Below are 24483 nucleotides of genomic sequence, written 5' to 3'. Positions count from 1 at the left end.
GCTCGGTGCTCGCGGCGGGAAGGGAAGCAGGTGTGGGTGGGGAGCAGAGAAGGGTAATGGGGAGAGTCCCTTCCGAAGGTGTTCAGGCGCCCAGAGCCTCAGAGGCGCCGGGGAAGCGTCGGGGACCACAGACACCGTTCCCGTGCGTAAAGCTTTCCTTCCAGGAGCGGGGGGATGGGAACAGAGCCCCCCACCCTCACCATCTTCCAGAGGGGTCCTCCAGCAAGAGAGTGCCCCAGCCAGGAGAGCCCCCAGGGCAGAAGGTCACAGACCCCTTCTGCTCAGGCGTGAGGTCTGTGCTGAGTGCTGGGCGGACACCCCGGCTCAGGCCTCTGGCAGCCTGGTGCCGCAAGGGGACCTGTTAGGAGCTAGGGGCACAGGCTGGTGTGCTGACTCCCTGTGAGTGAGCTTTGGAATGGGGAGTGTCCTTGTAGCTCAAGGTCGCAGAGGAGAGTAGGCCCCCGCGTGGATCCCAGAGAAGAAAAAGGTGGGACAGTGCCAACACCGGGGTTTAATTCTGAGTCTGAGAGCAGGACGCATGGTGGGGGCGGGTGGTTCTGGAGCTGGGCCCCGGCCTCTGCTGGGCTGACCGTATTTGGGGGCCTGGCTGGGCCTACTTGGAGGTCCCCTTCTTGGATTTGCTGGTCAGGAAGGCCTCTGACTGTTGCAGGGGGGGCACTTTGACGCCTTTCTGCTTCAGCTGATTATAGTAGTCGCTTCTCTCTGAGATAATTCTCTACACAAGAAACACAGCCGTCGAGGTGGCCTTCCCAGTTCCTCACCTTGGCCTTGAGGCCGGTCTGCACAGTCCGTGCCAGCTGCCCGGGACGCCACCCTCTCCTCCTCCTCCAGAGAGGCTTGCTGCAGCAGGGGTGTGCTGGTGAATACTTACAACCGGCTCTCCAGGGGGAGAAAAAACAAACAACCCTCGGCTTTGTGGCGTTGCCAGTTTCTGTGGTGGGAATATTCCCACAGTGGCTGATTTTCAGCCACGGAAGTGAAGTCACAGAATGCGGAGCCGGGGGCAGGTGCACACCACCAGCCCGCAGAAGCCTGCACTAAGCCCCCTCTTCAGCCCTCTTAGAGTTGTGAGGAGCCCCAGACTCCTAGAGATCTTTGAGGTCGTCACATCTGTCCCTCAAGTCCCTTCTGTCCTGTACAGAGGGAATGTTGTCCCCACCTCTCTTCCATTCTCCTCTCTGGGCCGTTGCTGGTTCATGTCAGGCTATGGCAAGCAAGCAAAGGTGCTCTTCCCTGGCTACTGTGCGGTGGGAATAACTCCCTCCATCCTCTGTCTTCCCTCTTCTCTTCCTCTTTCTCTCCCCTTCCTCCTCCCCTCCCCCAGACAACAGTACCAAGGCCGCAGAGACCTCTCTCCACATTACAGCTCTGCAGGAGAGGCACTGTCCAGGGCCCCCCACTCTGCAGAGGAAGGGAACCAGGCCCCAGGAACGTGGGTGCTGGAAGGTCAGGGGCACACACTGGGGTTCAAGGGCAGCCCCAGAGGGTGAAGTGTGGGTCTTGGGAACAAAAGCAGCTCCTGGTGAGAGGTGACCCCTTCGTAGTACACAGCCCCACACAGAGCCATAGCCGGTGCCCGGCTCCCAGAGCTCTGAGTCTTACGACACCTTGCAGGTGAGCATGCGCTGTCCATCACAGAGGGAGGCATCTATGGCTCAGAAAAGTGAGTGTGTGGCCCCCAGCTGGTGGGTGGTGACCCCCTCATGCCCAGTGACCCCAAGGCCTGAATTCTCCTACACCCCTCTACTTCTCCGAGGCCCTTGCTTGGGGACCCCTGGTCAGGAAGGAGCCCAGGAGGCTGTGGCCGGGGTGGGAGGGGTCTGCACCAGGGCCCTGGATCAGTGGGTGGTGATACCAGCGGAGGGGACCAAGCTGGACAAAGCCGGGGCTGGGCTCCTGCTGTGGGAGAATCTTCGTGCCCTGAGCGGCTTGTCCCCTCTCCACAGCGCTCAGGATGGGTTGTGGCAGTTACTGCTGGTCTCTGATGCCCGTCCCCCGTTTTGCTGAGAGTAGCTAAGACTCCCGTGCCATGCCCCCACCTGCCTTAGGATGATTTGATCCCCTCTGCCTGAGCTGAGAGAAAGGAGGGTCCTGGGGTCCAAGTGAATAGGTGACACAGGTAGGATGAGAACAGAGTCCCTGGAATCTAGGCCCCCCACAACCCCCTACCACAGCTCTGGCCTGGGGGTCTGGGGCCCGGATAGAGGCAGCTGAGCTTAGGGGTATACCTGCAGGGCTTCCAGGATGTCATTGTCAGAGATCTCGTTGGCCAAGGACTTGGTCCCGGAGATGCTAAAGGTGGCCTGGATGATCTTATTCCTTAACCTCTCGAGCTGTGAGCAAAGGGACAACACTATCATTCGCCTTTACCCAAGAAGGCACCTGGCCAGTGGGCTGCACCCCCCACCACCTTATTTTTTATGTACCAGGAAGGAACAGCTCACCCTCACTTTTCATGGCTTTAGAAACTGGAAACAGGTGTCAGAGAAGTCAATGTGGATTGTCTGAGAGCTAGGAGGTGCCGGATCCAACCCCTGACCCTGTGCGGCCCAGCCCCAAAGCCCAAAGACTCTCCTACACCAGGTGGGCTTTTCTAATTGGAAAGTAAAACCTACACACACATATATATATATTTTTAAACCAACAAACCAAAATAGTACAGAAGCCGCACGTAACCCCTGGACCATCCTCCACTGCCCAGGGGAGCTGCAGTGAGCGGACTTCCTGGCCCTTGGGGACACTCTCACTTTAGGCATTTAACAGTGCGCTGCTGGTGCTTCCTCCTTTCCATGCTGACTAGGAGGTGTCTGTGCCATGGACAGCAGCGTTGAACCTGGCCCCCGCGCACAGACCCAGAAGGCGTTCTCGTCTTCTGCTGCCATGAAGATCCTTGTCTGCCTGTACACCCGCAGCCGCCTCCCCAGAGGTAGCTAATCGTGCCTCCCAGGAAGCTGCAGAGGAAACCCCTCCAATCTGCACCCCAGGAGCCTCAGACAGGAACCCCTTGAGTTATGCGGCACGCTCAGCACGAGTTCCTCGTCCAGAAACCCTGACGACGCAGAGGTGCCCCACAGGAGCTGGGCCCGAGAGGCTCAGCCTTGCCTCCGAGTGGAAGCATGTCCACACTGCCGCTCGGACAGGTTTAAGTGACAGCAGGAATGTCATGGGCCCCTGGCCTGTGTGAGGAGTGGAATCCTTTCCTTCTTTCCAGTATTTATTGAGCGCCCAACTTTGTACAAACACCGTGCCAGGTGCTGGAGGTCGTGAGGTCACAAGGGGCTGGGCCTCTGTACTGGGGGTCCCTCCCCAGGGTAGAGGTTGGCAGCTACCCGGGGTGTCCAGCCTCACTTCCCCACACCCGTGGGGCCTCACCATCAGGCTTGGCGCTAGTTCCTGCTCACCCGGACTTAGCTTCACAATATTTCTCAGCTCAGCTTTCCAGGCTCCACCAGGTCAGTGCAGGCTGGCGCACAAATGGACACACCTAGACCGCCTCTGGTCTAACGCTTTCACCAGGACTACGGCTGGATCCCAAACTGTTTTATCAAGGGATACCAGGGGTGGGTGCCTCAGTCTGACCCAGCCGGAAGGAGGTGGACTCAAGCAGGAAAGAGGACGCAGTTGAGTTGCAGTTGGCATTTCTGGTGGGAACCTGACTTCAAAAGCCTCCATACATGACCTTGACCTTTGCTTAATTTTGGATTCTAAATCAAGGTCAGGGCCAGGCACGGTAGCTCACACCTGTATTCCCAACACTTCGGGAGGCCAAGGCAGGCAGATTGCTGGAGCCCAGGAGTTCAAGACCAGCCTGGACAGCATAGTGAGACCGTCTCTACAAAAAGCTTTTAAAATTGGCCAGGTATGGTGGCACATGCCTGTGGTCCCAGCTACTCAGGAGGCTGAGGTGGGATGACGACAGCTTGAGCCTGGGAGGCCAAGGCTGCAGTGAGCTGTTATCACCCCACTGCACTCCAGACTGGATGACAGAGAAAGACCCTGTCTCAGAAAAAAAAAAAAAAAAAAAAAAGGTCAGCTCTTTATTGATTTCCTTTTTGGCATGGGGCCCTCACAAGCAGGGCACACTCTGGCCTTGCTCACGTTTCATATGACACCCCAGTGGAGCCCTGCAGTTGAGACTGCCAAATCCCAGCACCACCGCAAAGCAGGTCTGCTGTCCAGGGGGACTGTTCATCCTTTCCTATTTGTCTACTAAGTGAGGATCATGATAACTACTTCGCAGTCTGGTTAAAGGAGCTACATGACTTTGATACCAAGAAGGTACTTAGAATGGTGCCTGGTCCAGCAAGCACGCTATGACTCAGAGATGAGGGGGGCAACACCATGCCTCCCTATCCAGGTGCCCTCCTCCTTTCCAGCCAGTGATCCAACCCCTTCACAATGCAACCCAAGACCCGCAGCCCTGCCCATGGGGCTCCGCCCACCACTGCCATTGACGAACATTTCCGGGCTACTCTGTTGCACTCTCACTCCGTCCTCTACCCACATTTCTTGAGTGTCAACTCTGTGTGGATGCTGGTGTACACGGCAGAACCAGCCCGAGCCCCAGCGTACACAGACCCCGGTTCTACCTCGGTGGGCGGTGGGCAGAGGCCTGGGTGCTCGGCCGCCAGCTGCTGGGACAGACCCTCAGGAGGAAGGGCTGGGCATACCCTGGACTGGGAGCTCTCCAGGGCCACGCGGGTGTGCTGCTCTGCCTGCTGAATCATCTCCTTCTTGCTCTGCAAATCCTCCTGCAGCTGCTTCCACCTCTGCAGGTGGTTCTGGTCCAGTTCCACCTGCTCCTGCAGCTGGCTGACCTTGGTGTCCAACTCTGAGATGACACAGTCCCGCTTGGTGAGCTTTCTCTCCAGTTCCGACACTTGCTGGGGACAGCCGGGGAGAAAAAAGAGGTGGGGTCATTTCGCCCAACCTGAGTATGTGTGGCACCCATCCACTTTTTCCTAAAAGATGGCCGGCGGCCAGGTGCAGTGGCTCACGCCTGTAATCCCAGCACTTTGGGAAGCTGCGGTGGGCGGATCACGAGGTTAAGAGATTGAGACCAGCCTGACCAACATGGTGAAACCCTGTCTCTACTAAAAATACAAAAATTAGCTGGGCATGATGGCAAGTGCTGGTAGTCCCAGCTACTCGGGAGACTGAGGCAGGAGAATCACTTGAACCCAGGAGGCGGAGGTTGCAGTGAGCTGAGATCACACCACTGCACTCCAGCCTGGTGACGGAGCAGGACTCTGTCTCAAAAAAAAAAAAAAAAAAAAAAGGACTGGGAACGCTTGCTGGGTCCCTCCAGTCCAGTCTGGACCCAGCAATTGCGAGGAGCCTTCTGTGTGGACGTGGGGTGCAGAGATCTGTCGAGTGGCATGCTACCGAAGGGGTCCTGGCTCAGCTGTGAAGACGCTCCAGCCCCGTCTTGCCCTTTGCTGTGTTGGGACTTACAGTAAGAACAGTGGCCTGGCTGATCATTTAACGACACCCAGGCTGTCACCTGTCGGAGGAGCTGGTTGTCCTTTTCAATGAGCCCCATCATCTCTTGGTGTTTCTTATCTTCTCGGAGGTTGGAGAACTGGAAGGAGACAGAAGGGTTGGCTTGGGGGACTCCCAGGTTTAGATAACAGACTGAATTCCGGCATCTAACTTTTTTCCTTCCCCAAAGCTCCCTAAAATAATAGCAGCGGGATTTCTATTGAAGGCAGGGAGAAGAGAAGAAGAAAAAGGACTAAAAATATTTTGGAGAGTTTGAAGGTGGCTGAGTGGTATCTGACATCCCAGATCCAAGAAAGCCAAATAGCCGGCAGTAGGAAAAGCAGAAAATAAGCCCAATTCACACTTGAGTTCCTAAAAGTCTCAGACATTGTTGGTCTGGGTTCTTCTAAACATGGAGGCTAAAATGAGGATGATTGGTGGAATGTTATTTCAGAAATGAAGAGCCCTAGGCCACGTGCAGTGGCTCACACCTGTAATCCCAGCACTTTAGAAGGCTGAGGTGGGTGGATCACTTGAGGTCGGGAATTTGAGAGAAGCGTGGGTAACATAGATCCTATCTCTACAAAAAATAAGAACATTGGTTGGGTGTGGTGGTGTGCACCTGTGGTCCCAGCTCCTCAGGAGGCTGAGGCGAGAGGATCACCCGACTCTGGAGAGGCTGAGGCTGCAGTGAGCTGTGATCACACCACTGAACTCCAGCCTGGGTGACAGAGTGAGAACCCATCTCAGAAAAAAAAAAAAAAGGAGAAAAGAAAAGAAAAGAAACTCTCCATTAAAATGCCAAAGCAAAGCACACTGCTCTGCCAGGGAGCACAGAGTGGTCACCTGTGTGCTCAGAGTCCAGTCAACTCGAACATTGGAGCAAAGCTCTCAGATGAATGACAGACACCAAAAGCAAACTTGTAGGAAATAGAAGTGGTGCAAGAAGTTAGAAAACTAACAGTATGATGAACGCTGTCATCAAGGGAAAATACTGCAATTGTGAAGCCAAACAAGAGTGCGCTTCAAAAAAAGAAAAATGGAACACTCAGAGAACATCAGAGTAAAATATTATAACAAAATGAAAAGAGCTGTTGATAAAGTTAAGGAAATCTTCTAGAAAGTATCGGTAAGAGACAAAGAGACAAAAAGGTTGAGATAACAGATAAAACAAGAGCGGGACAGGAGGTCCAATAGTGTGAGAGAAGGCCATAAAAAAACAATAAAACCAAAGAAAATTCCAGAACTAAAGGACATGAGTTTCCAGATGGCCACTGAGTGCCCAATACAACAGATGAAAACACACCCTCAATAAAGCACAACTCTGGGAGGTTTCAGATCACCTGGGACAAAGATAGGATCTTACAACTTTCCAGAGAGGAACAACCAACCCAGAAGGAACCATGAACGACTTTGGACTTATCATCGGCCAACCTGGAAGACAACAGAGGAAGGCCTCTGTGATGCTGAAGGAAAATGGTTTTCAAACAGGAATGCTATATCCAACCCAGATGTTATGAGGGTATAGAGTAAGGACATTTGCCAACATATCCTGTCCCCAAAACTTTACCCCTGTTCATCGTTTTTTTTTTTTTTTTTGAGATGGAGTTTTGCTCTTGTCGCCCAGACTGGAGTGCAATGGTGCAATCTTGGCTCACTGCAACCTCCTTCTCCTGGGTTCAAGCGATTCTCCTGCCTTGGCCTCCTGAGTAGCTGGGATTACAGGCATCCACCATCACACCGGTTAATTTTTGTATTTTTAGTAGAGCTGGGGTTTCACCATATTGGTCAGGCGGGTCTTGAACTCCTGACCTGAGGTGATCCACCTGCCTCAGCCTCCCAAAGTGCTGGGATTACAGGTGTGAGCCATCGTGCTCAGCCTCATTTATCCTTTTTGATAAAACTACTGGAGGATGTGCTCCACCAAAAATAAGTGAAGAGGGCAAGAAAGCAAAAGGTGTGGGATGCAGCAGTTTTAAAGTTGTGGTTTATGAATCTTAGTACTGTTCTGTAAAACTTATTTTATTTATGTATGTGTGTGAGACAAATAACTGTCCTAATGATGTCAGTGCAACATTGATTGTGATAGAATGATACGAGGAGGAGGGTGGATGGAAAGGCTGCCCTTGTGTGTGTTGGGGGGCGGTGGCAAGGGAGGAAAAAAAAGGAAGCATTAAATAATGTTAAGATGGAGAACAATCTAGAATGGCCACTATGAGCATGCTATTTAGAGATTTGGAGATAGATTCATAAAGAACGTGCTGGAAGAATTTAAAATGATGCCTTAGGAGAGGGCGAATGAGAGGGAGGAGGTCAGAGGCTCCTGGTTTTCATGACAGGCCTCGTGGAACTATTTGATTCTTTAAGCGATGTGCATGAATAACTTTGATAAGAGTAAAAACCTAAAACGCTTAACAAAAACGACAAGAGTGGGCTCAGTGGAGTAGCAGTCTCTCTAAGCACGGATAGGGCGTTCTTACCCCCAGGACTCAGGGGCCAGGAGATGCTTGAGGAGTGGCCAAGAGCACAGCGGCTCAGGAGACAGGGACACTTGCCTCCAGCCCAGGGACAGGGCAGAGCTGTGGCTGGGCACATGGGCTCCAGCCTCCCACACACCTTGGGGAATCCTAGCGGGGCCGCTATCAGCCGCACAACCCTGGGCCAGCTGCCTGGACACCCCAGGCTCAAAGTCTCCATCAGTAGATGGGACGGGCAGCGCCTGCCCCGAGCTGCCGGGGGTTAATGAAGCCTGGGGCCCATGCTCATGGAGCGGAGGCCGGTACTGAGCGCACGGCCACCTTGTCGGTCATGGCTTGTAGCTGCTGCCTCCGCTCTCGGAGCTCCTTCTGCAGCGTCTCATTTTCCGTATTGATCTTTCGCAGCTGGGTTTCTTGGAAATCCACTTGTTGTTGTAAAGACGCAATCACTCCTGGGCACAGAGGCAGAGGCGGTGAGCAGGAGCAAGCAGGGGCAGTGAGGGACAGAAGGAGAGGGCCGGGCCACTGCGGCAGCTGGGAGGGCTCTGCCAGCCTGGGTGAGGCTGCCGACACCTGCCCCTGCTCCAGCTCACTGACCAGAGCAGGCAGCGTCTGGGCGTCCCAGCTCCTGGGCCGGGAACCACTGAGTGGCCAAAGCCCAGTGCCCCCCGCCGAGGCCCTACCTGTTGCAAGGGAGTATCTGGTCCTGGTGGCCTCCAGGTTGAACTGGAAGTCCAGGATGACCTGCTCGTACTCCTCCAGCTGGGCCAGCAGCTCCTCCTCAAACGACTCGGCCAGGGAGGAGGCCCTTCTCCTGGGGATCTCCTCTTCCTCCGGCAGCTCCCTTTCCTCTGAGTCCTCATCCCTGTCCCCTTCCTCCTCTTCCTCCTCCTCGCTTCCCTCCTCATGCACGGATCCCATCTGGCTCACACCTCCCCAGGCACCCGTGTCCTCCACCCCATCGGGCTCCCCTTCCAGGCCCTCGTCCTCCTCGCCACCTCCCAGGTCGGGCTCCTTGCCCCTCTCCGGTGCCGCAGACTCCTCCTGCATCTGTAAGATGGGTAGGGCAGGGGCTGGGCAGGGCTGCGGGGCACCCCCAGGGCAGAGGGCTCTAATGCTCATGGCGGGGGCACCGGGGAGGGCGCCTCCTTCCAGGCTGCTGCAGGGTCCAGGGAGTGGGAGAGCATCTGCCTGGCAAGGTCACCAACAGTGGCCCAGGCACTGTGGCCTCTGTCACGGGTCCTCCCTCTGTCAGTAGACTGCACCTGACCTGTGCCTTCAAGGGGGCTAACGACCCACCCACCTCACCTGCTCCCCTGGAGTGGGGCACCCCAGGTCAGGGCTGCAGCAGGGACACTTGGGGCCTGGGCCTCTTAGTTAAGCAGCCTAGGTGGCTCCTGGGCCCGGGTCCCCCACTGCGTGCCTGCTCTCCAGGCGGCCCGCACCTGCCACCAGTGCTGCAGCTCCTCCTCATGTCTGGAGAAGGCCTTCAGGAGGCTCAGCCTGCCCAGCTTCAGCGAAGCGTCTGAGAGCTGCTCCTGCAAGACGCCCGTGGGACCCTCAGCTTTCCAGCCCCTCCTGCAGCACCCCAGGGACAGACCACTGCCTGTCCTAGAAGGGACAGCGGCCTCTCATGTCTGGGGAGGGGACCTGCATCCTCCTGCCAAGGGGCTGGGGGATGTGGGTGCTGTGGCAGTGGAGGGCACAGGAACCTGCGGATGGGCAGTTCTGGGGGGCAGTGGGGCTCTAGGCACCCCCAGAGCAGCCCCCAGCAAGTGGCCTTGCAGTAAAGGACAAGGCCAGCCAGCCTTACACACGCCCACTGTGCATGTCATTGCCTGGGTGGCCCACCCTCAGACACCCACCCAGCAGCCTGGGGAGGACAGAGAGTGGAAGCCGCCGGCTGGCCACCTTTCCCTGCCCCCGCCCTGTGTGTCTAGGCAGCCTTCCCTTGAGGCATTTAGGGCAGTTGGCATGGTCAGGGGCCTTCCCCCTGGTTCCTGCTTCATCTCTGGCCCCCAGCATAAACTCAGGCTGTCTCCTCAGGTGTGAAAGAAATCTTAGGAAGATCAGGTGACCGCCCCTGGGCACAACACAGACCTGCCTCGTCCAGTCCTCTGCCCACACCTAGAGGTGGGGTAGCATCCCCACCTGCATCCCCACCTCTACCCCACCCCCACCCCAACCCCATGCCCAACCTCGCAGGGGGCTTCACAGCCAGAGAGTGGGGAGAAGGGATTCCTGGCCAGGGCAGGGTAATACAAGCTACCACTGCAGATGATGCACAGAGCCAGGCCCGGGGAATCCGCCTGCAGGGTGGCCTCCATGCCCCAGGATTTCACAGGTGAGCTCAGCCCTCATTTTATGGATAAGGACCCTGAGCCCCGACAGCGTTGTGCCTTGCCCCATTCAGAAAGCAAGTCAGAAGCCAGGTGCAGGTGCCTAGACATCGGCTCACGGCTCTCATTTGTCATTTTGCGCCTCCATTCATCTCTCCCCCCCCTGTTGCATCAGCTCATGGCTCTCATTTGTCATTTCGTGCCTCTGTTCGCCTCTCCCCTGCCTGTTGATCAGAACCCTGAGAACCGGTCCACGTTCCAGTGAGGACCTGATAGGATCCAGGGGGCCTGGGGGTTTGCCAGGGGCCTGTGTGTCACTAGCAGCTTTGGACGCTTTGAAAACAACCGTCTTAGAGCTCTGCGCTGTGCCCCGCTGGGGCTGGCTCACCCTCCTGCCTGGGGACATGGATGTCTCTTGGCCTTTGCCTTTCAGAAGGCATTTCAGCTGCATCTTCAGGGCCTCCCTCTCCTCCTGGAGCAGCAGGATCTCCTCGTCTTTCTTCTGAACCTGTATCTCCAGCTCAGACAGGCAGTGATCCTGGGCAGAAAACCAAGGGCAGCCCCCGTGGGCCATGCAGCCACACACTCTTCCCCTGACCTGCCTCCAGCCCACCCAGGAGGAGCAGATCTGCTGTCGTGGTACCCCAAAACCCCAGGGTCCCAGGGATTTCAAGATAGGTACTGCGGTAAAGAGCTAGCACTACACATCTGGAGATCAAGATGTGCCAGCTCTTTACTGCAGCCATGCCTGGCACCTCCAGCGCCTCTGCACCCATCCTAAGAACAGATCCTAAATCCTCGTCCGAGGAGTTGCAAGGCAGCTTCCCTTTCGGACCTGGCCCGTGGTGTGTCCCTGCACCCCACTATACCACAGGACACCAGTCTTCTTTGCAGCCCCGACACTTAACCGGCAACACCCTCCAAGCTTCCCTAGGGGCCTGTCGGGGAGCTCCTCAAACTTTTGTTCTCAGAATCTCAACTCCCTCAATTCTTCAAAATTAAAGACAAAAATAAAGATGTTTTCAGGCAAACAGAAATTGAAAGAATCTGTGACCAGCAGATCTGAACTTAGAGAAATACTAAAGGGAGTTCTTCAGGTGGAAGGAAAATGATCCCAACAGAATATTCTGGAAGGAAAGATAACTAGAAAGTCCCCTAAATGTTTGGAAAGTAAGTGATAGGCTTCTGTGTAGCCAATGGGTCAAAAAAGAAATCACAAGGAAAGCTAGAAACATTTTAAACTGATAATGAACATCCGGACACATCAAAGCTCGTGGGACGCAGTTAAAGTTGTGATTAATGGCAAATTTATAGCCTTAAAATGCATATACCAGGAGGGAAATGGAAAATCATGACCCAAGTATCTATCTCAAGAGTTCAGAAAAAGAACTAAAATTAATCCCGCAGAAAGTAGAAGAAAAGGAATAAAGATAGGTGTGAAAATTTATGATATAGGAAGGGAGAGAGGGAGAGAGGAGCAAGGGGGAGAGAGAGGAGAGAAGGATAAAGCAAACGTGGCCACATTTAACATTTGGGGAATGGAAAAGTACATGGGAATCTTTGTAGTATGGATTCTTACCACTTTATGCCTGAAATACAAAGTTAAAGGGAAAAAAAAGTGCAGAAATCACATTTCATCACCCAAGCCATGGTCCCGAGACACTTGCACGTCTCAAAATAGTGCAAGGACTGCTGGAAGGGAGATCCGATTTCCTGTTAGAGCTGCCGAGTTCACACAATGCCAGCTGCAAACTTGTTGCTGCAGGTGGCTCTCTTGCCACCAAATGAGAAGAGTTTATCTATGACAGCCCAGACGAAGGCAGAGAGGAGATAAAGAAAAGCCTGATGAGCCCCTTGGAGCTCCTGGAGGCAGCCAAGCCTGCAGCCCTTCCCTTGGATGGTTCATACGCATGACCTGGTAAATCCCCTCCCTGCTGCCTGCATGAATAACAACAGCATATCTGCCTGACTCTTGGCTAATGATATGCTCAGCCTATTTCTCAGAAATGAAATTACTTGGTTAAAGGGTAGGAACACTCTTGAAGCAGTGAAATCTATAATAATGTACAGGTAGAGTTGCAGGAGTAAACAAAATGAATATCATGGACCCCCAGGAGCTGGGACTGGCAAGCCCCCTTGTGTCTCCATTCAGTCATATGACCCCCCAACACCTCTGTGCCCTGCACCAAATCACCAACATTTTGTGACTCATGTCCATAATTTTCATCAAAACTTTACCAGTTTCAAAAGAATGCAGAGAAAGAAGGAAGCAGACACTAGAGAAAAATCAACAAAATCTAAAGCTGATTCTAAGAGAAGGTTATTAAAATTGATAAAACTCCAATGAGACCAATGGGGAAAAAGAAAGGAGGCACAAGGCAGCCACGTCGGGAATGAGACAGAGGCCGTCCCCACCCTGCCCAAGCTGCATCAAAGCTAGTAATTATCCTTGTACCACTTACAGCCTTAGGCTGATACATAAAAAATCTTATGTGAAATAGATGCATTCCTAGAAAAACACAGAACACCAAAACTGAAACTAGAGGAAAAAGAAAATCTGGATATATTTTTAAATAATTGAATTTGTGATTTTTTTTTTTTTGAGACAAAGTCTTGCACTGTCGCCTGGGCTGGCGTGCAGTGGCTCGATCTCAGCTCACTGAAACCTCCGCCTCCTGGATTCAAGTGATTCTCCTGCCTCAGCCTCCCAAGTAGCTGGGATTACTGGCACCTGCCACCACGTCCAGCTATTTTTTTTTTTTTTGTATTTTTAGTAGAGATGAGGTTTCACTATGTTGGCCAGGCTGGTCTTGAACTCCTGACCTCATGATCCACCCACCTCAGCCTCCCAAAGTGCTGGGATTGCAGAGGTGAGCCACTGTGCCTGGCCTAATTTGTGATTTTTAAAACTGCTCCTGTAGGGGCCCAGTACAGTGGTTCACACCTGCTATCCCAGCACTTTGGGAGGCTGAGGCAAGAGGATCACTTGAGCTCAAGAGTTCGAGGCAAACCTGAGCAACATGGAGAAACCTCGTCTCCACAAAAAAACGAAAAAAATTAATGGGCATGGTGGCGTGTGCCTGTGGTCCCAGCTATTCGAGAGGCTGAGGTGGGAAGATTGCTTGAACCCTGGGAGGTCAAGGCTGCAGGGAGCTGGGATCACTCCACTGCGCTCCAACCTGGGTGACAAAATGAGACCTTGTCTCATAATAAATTAAATAAACAAATTAAAAAATAAAAGTGCCCCTTTAGATGGAGGCTGCCGTGAGCTCTGATCGTGCCATTGCACTCCAGCCTGGGCAACAGAATGAGACCCTTTCTCTAAAAAATAAAGGCTGAGCGCAGTGGCTCACGCCTGTAGTCCCAGCACTTTGGGAGGCCGAGGTGGGTAGATCACGAAGTCAAGAGATCAAGACCATCCTGTCTGACATGGTGAAACCCGTCTCTACTAAAAATACAAAAATTAGCTGGGTGTGGTGGTGCGTGCCTGTAATCCCAGCTACTTGGGAGGCTGAGGCAGGAGAATTGCTTGAACCCGGGAGGCAGAGGTGGCAGCGAGCTGAATGGCGCCACTGCACTCCAGCCTGGCAACAGAGAGAGACTCTGTCTCAAAAATAAATAAATAAATTAATTAATAAAATAAGAGTGCTCCTGTGAGGAATCCCCAGACACAGAAGCCTTCAATGGCAAATTCTTCAGAATTCAAGGAAGAAATCACATCAGTCTTATACAAACTCTTCCAGAGAATAGAAAAAGAAAAAAGGTGCTGGGTGCAGTGGCTCACACCCCTAATCACAGCACTTTGGGAGGCCAAGGCGAGTGGATCACTTGAGCCCAGGAGTTCGAGACCTGCCTGGGCAACATGGGGAAACCCCATTTCTTTTTTTTTTTTTTTTTGAGATGGAGTCTCACTCTGTCACCCAGGCTGGAGTGCAGTGGCGCGATCTCAGCACACTGCAAGCTCCGCCTCCCTGGTTCACACCATTCTCCTGCCTCAGCCTCCCAAGTAGCTGGGACTACAGGCACCCACCACCACGCCTGGCTAATTTGTTGTATTTTTAGTAGAGACGGGGTTTCGCGTGTTAGCCAGGATGGTCTCGATCTCCTGACCTCGTGGATCTGTCTACCTCTGCCTCCCAAAGTGCTGAGATTACAGGCGTGAGCCACCTCGCCTGGCCGGGGAAACCCCATTTCTACAAAAATACAAAAAGTAGCCAGGTGTGGTGGTACGCACCTGTAGTCCCAGCTGCTTGGGAGGCTGAAGTGGGAGGATTGCTTGAGCTCAGGGAGCTCAAGGCTTCAGTGAGCTGGGATCACACCACCACACTCCAGCCTGGGTGACAGAGTGAGACCCTGTCTCAAAAAATACTACTACTACTAATAATAATAATAAAATAAAAAAAGAAAATAAATAAAAAGAAAAAAGGAACTGTTTTCCAGCCTTTTCTTTCTTTCATTTTAATGAGGCCAGAGTAACTTTGATACTAAAATTTGATGACGGAATTATAAGACAGTGAAAATATAGGTTAGTCTTTCTTATAAATATAGATTTAAAAAAGAATAACACTACAATGAATCAACTTGTGCATAAATCAAGCTGGTTATTCCTGTTATGATTTTTATTATTTAGAATACATTCTCTGAAGCAGATACTGTGGGTGCAAAGATGTGTGGACGGTTGGAAGTCATGCGTGCCGGTGAGTCTGAGTTCCATGCCGGCGTAACTGCCACCCACTGGGGTGAGGATGGACAGGGGTGAGGAGCTTTGTCAAAGCAGGGGGTCTGGAGGTCATTTTAGGCCATGGGGACCTGCTTGATGCAGCTAACCAGATACTAGAACCAGAGCCTGTCAGGGAGCAGGGCTGTCCTCCCAGCCGGACGCAGAGAGAGGGGTGGGGGGCCGGGATTTGCACCCCCTCCGCCAGTACCTTCTCGTGGATGACTGAGAGGTACCAGGGCATCCTCTTTCTCAGGCAGCTCTGAGATGCGACTGAGCTGCTGGTGACCGGACTCAAAGTCTGGGATTTTCTCCTCTTCCGCAAGTAATCGAACTCGCAGATGCTCTTACTGAAGGGAAGGAGGTACCCTGTGGCGACAGCGGAGGCCAAGTGAGAAATGAGACCCTTCCCTGCCGAGCTCCTCTGGCGTCTTCGATGACGACATCCACCCTTCCGAGACTTCCCTCGGAAACCCCTATCTGCCCAGACAGACTCCAATCTGTCTCCTAACTCTTGTCACCCTCATTTTGAGGACACAGTGTGGTGCTGCTGTGAACACGATGGGGCGCCCACACCCAGCACAGCGCGTGCTGAGGGAGTGCAGGAAGGTGCGGAAGCTCTGGCCGAGACACCCAGGACAAACGAGCCGGAGCTGGGAGTCGGGACGAGGGGGTCATCCTGATGCTGTCTCTGCACACCTGGTTGCTTGTCCCCTCCTGGAGCCTCAGTTTTCCCATCTCTCTTTTTTTTTTTTTCTTTTTGAGATGGAGTCTTGCTCTATCTCCCAAGCTGGAGTGCAGTGGCACGATTTCAGCTCACTGTAACCTCTGCCTACCAAATTCAAGCAATTCTCTGCCTCAGCCTCCCAAGTAGCTGGGATTACAGGTGCCCACCACATGCCCGGCTAATTTTTTTGTGTTTTTAGTAGAGACGGGGTTTCACCATCTTGGCCAGGCTGGTCTTGAACTCCTGAACCTCGTGATCCACCCGCCTTGGCCTCCCAAAGTGCTGTGATTACAGGCGTGAGCCACTGCGCCCGGCCCAGTTTCTCCATCTTTAAACTGAGAGGAGGGAGGAGATTCTCCACCTTCCTGAGGTTGAGGGGAGCTGGTCACTACAGACTCTAGGTTTCCTCCAGTTAAGGCAAGAAAGGAGACATGGTGCTGGGAATTTCCTCTTGGTAAATGGAAACAGGCACACCTGTCTGCGGGAGCAGTGTCCCGGGGGGTCTCTACCCACAGTGAGGGATGCACCCATCAGCCACTGGGTAAAGGCCAAGGGGACAAAACTTTCAACTACGATTTTTACTAAAGACAAGGGGCCACGGTCCTGGGGGGACTGCAGCCTATGCTGTCAGGGAAGGCAGGGCTAGTTCTGCACAAGGGAGGCCCGGAGGCCTTTCTGTGTGAGTCCTCAGGAGGCAGACAGTCCCGGGAGGGAATTCCGCAGGGCACAAGCAGCGACCCTGCAAGAAGCAGGCCTCGAGCTCAGGGGCCCAGCAGGTGCAGGCAGAGGCCCTAGGGGCTCCCTCACCGTCCACGTTCGTGTCTGAGCCCCGCCTGGCCAAGAACAGGTCCTGGGTGCCTCTCCAGGTCTCCGAGCTGTTGTCAATCTCTCCGGACAAATCGGCCTCAGTGGGTGAACCTGTAGAGTGTTAAAGATGCCATCTGGTGACTGCTGCGGTCTTGTCTCCCCAAGATCTCCAGGGCAGACTCTTATTTATCCTTAAACACCAGGTAGGGACACAGGTGGCTTTTTTTAATGGATGCATGGGACTGAGCAAGGGCTGAACCAAAGGGTGGGCTTCATCCTCCTGCCTGCCCTGGTGTCTCCACCTCAGCAGACCCAAGTGTGGCTGAATTTCTCTAGCTGATGCCCCCTTTCCCCCGGAGGGGCAGACCCTACTTTCCTTCGGTAAAAATGTGCCTCCTAAAAGTCGAACGGAAGCTCCCCTGCCTCCAGACCAGCCCATCCAAGGCAGACCCTGTTTCCCCTAAACCATCACAAATTGCCCCAATGGCAGGTGCCTATGAGCAGTATGTAGACGCAGACCCCACGCCCAGGACACCGTGTGGCCCCTCAGCCTCCCCAGAGACCTGCCCACAAAAATGCCTGGTCCTGGAGCCCTGGCCACCGTGGAGACCCTCTTGCTGAGGCAGTGGGGGCCTGAAGCCTAGAAAGGTGAGGGCCCTGCTTCTACCTGATGCTGGCTGAGATTGGTGGACAGCACGGGACCCCCTCCCCAACCCCCCCACCCCACCCTTGCTACTGGTTATAGGAATTTAGCTCAAGCTCGCCATCCCTAAGAATGGTGTCTTGTGTGGGGACATGGAACCAGTCCAGGTCCAGGAGCAGATGCTGGGATGAAGCCTTGGCTCTGGGCAGCATCCCCCAGATGCCCATGGAGCTCGGCAGCTGCCTGCTCCAAGCCTCCTGTTCTCATCAGAGCAGTGAAGGGTTTGGACCGGATAGCTGCTAGGGCTCCCCAGGGGCACTGTCCCTAATGAGCTATCTGGCTTTATGGGGTTCTTTCCTGAAGCTTCCAGAATCTTCAACCATTTCCACTCCCCTAGCCCCTGACCCTACTGAATTTTTAGTGGGTGAAACAATAGAAAAGCAAGAAGGCTGGGGAGACAAATCATAATCATAGTGGCCAGGAGAAGTGGGCCCCCCTCCACCCCCAGCTTCATTGCTGCCCTGGCTCCCTGAGCACAGAGCGGATTTCAAAAGCAGCAGCTGGGGCCACTGTGGAGGCCAACTCTGGCGGCTGCTCGCAGGCTGAAGGGTGCAGGAAGGCCTCCCCCGGCCCCTCGACTCTGACAGGCAGTTTCACAGGCGGTCCTGGTGGGGGGCTCTTACCACAGTGGGACATGGATGTGGCCCTGGTGCTGAACTGGGGGCAGTCAGGATGCGTGGGGAAGACCCTTCGAAGTTCCATTTTGGACATGAAGCCGGTGAGGCTGGCGGCATCCTTGGGTTCACTCTGGCAGAGCGGGGAAAGTAAGACAGACAAGGAAGGCCCCTGACTGTAGGCCAGCCCATCCAAGGGCAGACCCTGTTTCCCTAAACCATCACAAATCGCCCCAATGGCAGGTGCCTATGAGTCGTATGTAGATGCAGACCCCACACCCAGGACACCGTGTGGCCCCTCAGGCCTCCCCAGAGACCTGCCCACAACAACCCCCTGGTTCTGGAGCACTGGCTGCCCACCGAGAGCTTCTTAGGCATCCTGAAGCCTAGACAGACGGGGGCCCTGCTTCTGCCTGACTGTCGGCTGAGATTCACAGACAGGCCCCCCGACCCCACCCACACATGCTGCTGGTCACAGGCACTAAGCCACTCTCCCACTGGGGTTGAAAGGGCCTGCGTGTGTGCAGGCTGCAGCAGTGTGTCCCCTCTGTCCCCTCTCCAGCACACTGGATGCTCAGCAAGAGCCACGCAGACCCACTTTGGAAACCATAGTCCAGCCGGGCATGGTGGCTCATGCCTGTAATCCCAGCACTTTGGGAGGCCAAGGCGGGCAGATCACATGAGGTTGGGAGTTTGAGACCAGCCTGACCAACATGGAGAAACCCCATCTCTATTAAAAATACAAACAAACAAACAAATAAAATTAGCCGGGCAAGGTGGCACATTGTAATCCCAGCTACTCTGGAGGCTGAGGCTGGAGAATCACTTGAACCCAGGAGGTGGAGGTTGCGGTGAGCCAAGATCGCGCCATTGCACTCCAGCCCGGGTGACAAGAGTGAAACTCCGTCTCAAAAAAAAAAAAAAAAAAAAGAAAAAGAAAAAAAGAAACCATAGTCCACTAGGTCCAGGCAATGCATTCACCCAGGAAGCTGCCAGGAGCCGGGGTGACCATCTCGGGCTCCCCCAGTACACGGTGGCACAGCGTACCTGACTGGCTGAGGTCCCCTTTCACATTTTCTCCCCTTCACTCTCCTTTTCAAGATGCACCTTGGGAGTCTTGGGGCAAACTGTACATCTTCTCCCCTTGGCCAACCAGAGACACCGGGAGCCAAGGTCTGCAAGAGGGGAGGACCAACCCAAAGCAGCTAACCCAGAAGAAGCCGGTGGCATGTGGGGACTAAGGCACCAGGCCCTTCAGAAAGGGAGAGGACCGCAGGGCTCTTTCCACCCCTAGCGCTCAATTCGTTGCCTGCCTGGAATCCCCCTTTGGTAACCCATCACCAGAAGGCCTGTGGAATGCTTTGTGGGCTGACAGCTCTATGGGCCTTTGGGGAGGAGAAGAAACAGGTCACCTCAAGGCTCGTGGCAGCCCTCCTCCCGGGACCCCATACCGTCTTCCTGTAGTAGCGGCTGATGGTCTGGACCGACTTGCTGAGCGTGCGTGGCTTTTGGTGCGGTTTCCATTCTGGGCACCGGGCGTCCCGGCTGGCCATGCTCTGGAGGAGCACCAGGGCCCTGGCCATCGAGCTGGACATCGAACTGTGCCTCTGAGATGGGCTGGCCTCCTTAGGTAACATGAGGCGTGGGATGCAAAGACCAAGTGAGCTTTGTTGCCTGAATGTGGACCTGAATGAGGACAGGCCCGGCTTTTCCCGTGGATCTCTCTTCAGCCTGGCTTGGGGTGTGGAGGGGAAGATGGCCTCGAACATGAACCTGCTGGCTGGTGCAGTGGGAGGAGATCAGCTTCCAGAGCTCCAGGTCCTGTGGGCTCCTGGGAGCAGTGGTGGCATCACAGATGTCTCCATAGAAACCGTTATTGAGCAAAAGGGGCCCGCGGCTGGATGCGCTGGAGGCCAGTGCTGTGACACCAGGTTTTTGAGAAGAGCAAAGCTCAATATTGAAGGTTGCCTTCTGGGCTGGGTGTGGTGGCTCACACCTGTAATCCCAGCACTTTGGGATGCCCAGGTGGGAGGCATGCTTGAGCCCAGGAGTTAAACATTTTAATTAGCCAGGCATGGTGGCGTGCACCTGTAGTCCCAGCTCCTCAGGAGGCTGAGATGAGAGGATCACCTGAGCCTGGGGAGGTCGAGGTTGCAGTGAGCTGTGTTCACGTCACTGCACTCCAGCCTGGACTACAGAGTGAGACCCTATCTCCAAAAGAAAAAAGAAAAAAAGAAAAAAAAAAAGAAAGAAAAGAAAAAAAGAAAAGTCAGCTCCCAAGGACACAGGAGTCCAGCTCAAATGTCTCCATGTGCTGGCTTGAAGACAGTAATTGTATTAGAAAAGGTTAGGCTGGGTGCGGTGGCTCATGCCTGTAATCCCAGCACTTTGGGAGGCCGAGGTGGGCGGATCACGAGGTCAGGAGATCGAGACCATCCTGGCTAACACAGTGAAATCCCGTCTCTACTAAAAGTACAAAAAATGAGCCGGGCGTGGTGGCGGGCGCCTGTAGTCCCAGCTACTTGGGAGGCTGAGGCAGGAGAATGGCGTGAACCCAGGAGGCGGAGCTTGCAGTGAGCAGAGATCGCACCAGAGCACTCCAGCCTGGGCAACAGAGTGAGACTCCATCTCAAAAAAAAAAGGTTTAGGGGGTGGGCTCTGGGATTAGAAACATTTGGCCAAGAAATACCTAGAAGAGTAGATAAGAGTAGCCTGACTCCCTGGGAATGATTTTCCAGGCTTCAAATGCCTACCTCAAGACATCTTTTAAGGAGAGAAAGACAAAACCCCTACCTTCAGAAGCCTTGATTAGGGTCTGAATGGGAAGAAAGGCTTCTCTGCTTGCTGACTGAAGGAAATTTGAAGGGGGCCTGCCCCATCCACACCTGTGGGTATTTCTCTTCAGGTGGAGATGAGAGACTGAGAAAAGAAACAAGACGCAGAGACAAAGTATAGAGAAAGAACAGTCAGCCCAGGGGACCGGCACACTCAGCATGCAAGGACCTGCATCGGCGCTGGTCTCTGAGTTCCCTCAGTATTTATGGATCACTGTTTTTACTACCTTGGTGAGGGGAGTGTGGCAGGGCAACAGGGTGATGGTGGGGAGAAGGTCAGAAGGGAAACGTGAGCAAAGGAATCTGTATCATGAATAAGTTTAAGGAAAAGTACTGTGCCTGGATGTGCACGTAGGCTAGATTTATGTTTCACTTTACACAAACATCTCAGTGTAGCAAAGAGGAACAGAGCAGTATTGCTGCCAGCATATCTCGCCTCCAGCCACAGGCTGGTTTTCTCCTATCTAAGAGTAGAACGAATGGTCGGCTTTACACCAAGACATTCTGTTCCGAAGGATGAGCAGGAGATAGAAATCTTCCTCTTATCTCAACTGCTGCAAAGAGGCCTCCCTCTTTAACTACTCCTCCTCAGCACAGACCCTTCATGGGTATCAGGCTGGGGGATGTAAGGTCTTTCCTTTCCCACAAGGCCACATCTCAGGCTGTCTCAGTGGGGGGAAACCTTGGACAGGCTTTCTTGGGCAGAGGTCCCTGCAGCTTTCCTCAGTGTATTGTGTCCCTGGTTAATAGAGAATGGAGGATGGCGGTGACTTTTACCAGGCATGCTGCCTGCAAACGGATGGTTAACAAGGCATACCCTGCACAGCCCTAAATCCATTAAACCTTGATTCAATACAGCACATGCTTCTGTGACACAGGGTTTCGGCTAAAGTTACAGATTAACAGCATCTCAAAGCAGAACAATTTTTCTTCATACAGATCGAAATGGAGTTTCTTATGTCTTCCTTTTCTACATAGACACAGTTACAATCTGATCTCTCTTTCTTTTCCCCACAGAAATTCATGACCCCATCCTTTCCAATATGACTTTATAAAAAATATTTATCATCCAAAAATCTCTTCAGTTTTTTGCATCTAAAGTACAAAACAAGCCTAGTATATATTTGAATTTTTGACCTACAGTCATATACCAAATAATGAAATTTTGGTCAATCATAGACCAAATGACAGACCAATACAATGGTAGTCTCTTAAGAATCTAATACTGTATTTTGGCCGGGTGTGGTGGCTCATGCCTATAATCCCAGCACTTTGGGAGGCTGAGGTGGGTGGATCCCAAGGTCAGGAGATTGAGACCATCCTGGCTAATATGGTGAAACCCCATCTCTACTAAAAATACAAAAATTAGCTGGGCGTGGTGGTGGGCACCTGTAGTCCCAGCTACTCGGGAGGCTGGGGCAGGAGAATGGCGTGATCCCGAGAGGCGGAGCTTGCAGTGAGACCAGATTGCGCCGCTGCACTCCAGCCTGGGCGACAGAGCGAGACTCCATCTCAAAAAAAAAAAAAAAAAAAAAAATCTAATAGTGTATTTTCACTGTAGCTTTTCTGTGCTTAGACATGTGTAGATACACACATACGTTGTGTTCCAACTGCCTGCAGTACTCAGGAACATGCTGCACGGGTTTGCAGCCTCAGCAACAGGTATAGCATATAGCCTAGGCATAGACTGGGCTGTAAACCACGTAGGTTTGTGTGAGCACACGGTATGACGTCTGCAGGATGGTGAAATTGCCTAATGATGCACTTCTCAGAACATATCCCTGTTATTAAGTGACACATACTGTATTTTAATAAGAAATAAAGCACTTTTACCAGCCTCAAATACTGAGAAAGAATTCTTGCCTTGCCAATTTCTCTTTTGTTGATTATTTTGTAGTCTTCCATATGAATCTCTAATTGTTTTGGGGACTTGGACCACAGGAAATGTTGTCACATTGGCCTGAGGTCCAGCATGTTTGAAAATCACATGTATTATGCTTTGTTTTTACATTGGTCTCTGAAACGCTGTTCAACAGACTCCTCGTCTATTAAAACACTCAAGTAAATTTCTGGTTCAGTTAACAGAAACTCATGGTGACAATTTGATCGATAGCGAAGCCAATATTAAATAGAAAGCTTATCTTGGGACCGACATTCAATCTATACAAACAAATCAAAGCTTCTCGTCTTGTCACTTCATATGAAAATGGCTAGATTTCCCCCAGATCTAGAAGGTATGTTTGGAGTTGGCTTAAATGCAGACCAGTGGCTGTGGGCGGAGGGTTACCCAGGTGCCGAGGCAAGAGACTGAAGGCACAAACTGTTTCAGCATAATAAAGAAAATAGTTAGAATAAGGATAGTCATGATACAAATTAGATATAGAGATGATGAACAATTATCAATCATTATTAATCATTAGCTTTTAATATTACTCTTTGTTGCATTACTAACATAATCTAGTAATAACCAGCGGGTGCAGGGTCAGGTGCTGAAGGGACATTGTGAGAAGTGAATAGAAGGCAAGAGGTGAGCCTTCTGTCACACCCGCATAAGGGCCGCTTTAGGGTTCCTTGGTCAAGCGGTAACGCCAGCGTCTGGGAAGGCACCCGTTACTTAGCAGACCATGAAAGGGAATCTCCTTTCCTTGGAGGAGTCAGGGAACACTCTGCTCCACCAGCTTCTTATGGAAGGCTGGATATCATCCAGGCCTGCCCACAGTCATCCGGAGGCCTAACCCCTCCCTGTGGTGCTTCAATGCTCATGCTCCTTGTCCACTTTCATGCCCCTCCCGTACTCCTGGTTCCTCTTTGAAGTTCGTAGTAGATAGCGGTAGAAGGAATAGTGAAAGTCTTAAAGTCTTTGATCTTTCTTATAAGTGCAGAGAAGAAAACGCTGACGTATGCTGCCTTCTCTCTCTGCCTTGCCTACCTAAAATGTATCCTGTAATCACATGACTTGCTTCACCTTGTCAATCACTTAGAAGATTCACCCTCCTTACCCTGCCCCCTTGTCTTGTATGCAATAAATATCAGCGAGCCCAGCCGTTTGGGGCCACTACCAGTCTCCACGTCTTGATGGTAGTTGTCCCTGGGGCCAGCTGCTTTCTATCTCTTTGTCTTGTGCCTTTATTTATTACAATCTCTCATCTCTGCACACGGGGAGAACACCCGCTAAGCCCCATAGGGCTGGACCCTACAAGTGGCACCAGAAAATGTATCTGGGAAGCGAGGCAGCCCTGGAAGTCTGGCCATCGCGGGGGGCAAGGTGTGTGTGTGTTAGCTACAGGTATCTCCTGCTGCGTCCTCATTTCCCAGAACAAGGAGTGGGTGGGCCAGTGTGAAGTGAGGGTGGAGTGTGAAAGGCACACGTGCGTCTATTTGCTACCTAGGGGTCGTGTGAGCTCGGCATCCCTCCCCTGGGCCCACACCTCCCACAGGTGTTGTGTTCTTGTACTCACGGAAAAGCAACCTGGGCCTTCAGGGCCTTTATTGATAAAACTCGCGCCTGTAGTCCCAGCTACTTGGGGGGCTGAGGCAGGAGAATTGCTTGAATCTGGGAGGCGGAGGTTGCAGTGAGCCGAGATCACGCCACTGCACTCCAACCTGGGTGACAGAGGGAGACTCGGTCTCAAAAAAAAACCAAAAACCAAAAACCAAAAACAAAACAACAAAAACTGAGTGGAAAGTCAAACACTAACAAGCCTAAGATTTTTGGTTACTGTAAAAAAAAAATTGTAAATTGCAAAGTCAATTTTATTTTCTT

At 52.7% G+C, this 24483-nt stretch overlaps 1 protein-coding gene across 1 annotated transcript, besides 3 other annotated features; it reads right to left on the bottom strand.

Moving 5' to 3' along the window:
* Window positions 327-1005: an enhancer, noted in NCBI's record as "H3K4me1 hESC enhancer chr1:3687696-3688374 (GRCh37/hg19 assembly coordinates)". NCBI's record gives its function as "activates a minimal SCP1, AML or CMV promoter by ChIP-STARR-seq in primed H9 embryonic stem cells {active_cell/tissue: H9 hESC(primed)}" and the evidence as "EXISTENCE:reporter gene assay evidence [ECO:0000049][PMID:30033119]".
* Window positions 492-19687, bottom strand: CCDC27 (coiled-coil domain containing 27). Its single transcript, NM_152492.3, has 12 exons — window positions 19338-19687; window positions 17896-18019; window positions 16570-16680; window positions 15247-15404; window positions 10707-10856; window positions 9425-9517; window positions 8663-9029; window positions 8301-8431; window positions 5525-5602; window positions 4692-4904; window positions 2250-2354; window positions 492-736 (listed from the first exon to the last, which is right to left on the bottom strand). The coding sequence occupies exons 1-12, from the start codon at window positions 19653-19655 to the stop codon at window positions 614-616; spliced, it is 1971 nt and encodes a 656-aa protein (NP_689705.2). The 5' UTR covers window positions 19656-19687; the 3' UTR covers window positions 492-613.
* Window positions 8915-9414: an enhancer, noted in NCBI's record as "H3K4me1 hESC enhancer chr1:3679287-3679786 (GRCh37/hg19 assembly coordinates)". NCBI's record gives its function as "activates a minimal SCP1, AML or CMV promoter by ChIP-STARR-seq in naive H9 embryonic stem cells {active_cell/tissue: H9 hESC(naive)}" and the evidence as "EXISTENCE:reporter gene assay evidence [ECO:0000049][PMID:30033119]".
* Window positions 9415-9916: an enhancer, noted in NCBI's record as "H3K4me1 hESC enhancer chr1:3678785-3679286 (GRCh37/hg19 assembly coordinates)". NCBI's record gives its function as "activates a minimal SCP1, AML or CMV promoter by ChIP-STARR-seq in naive H9 embryonic stem cells {active_cell/tissue: H9 hESC(naive)}" and the evidence as "EXISTENCE:reporter gene assay evidence [ECO:0000049][PMID:30033119]".

The sequence above is a fragment of the Homo sapiens genome, chromosome 1, assembly GCF_000001405.40.
Source record: "Homo sapiens chromosome 1, GRCh38.p14 Primary Assembly".
NCBI classification, from domain to species: Eukaryota; Metazoa; Chordata; class Mammalia; order Primates; family Hominidae; genus Homo; species Homo sapiens.
Note: the sequence above shows the minus strand (reverse complement) of the source record. Positions and strands in the feature narration are given on the sequence as shown.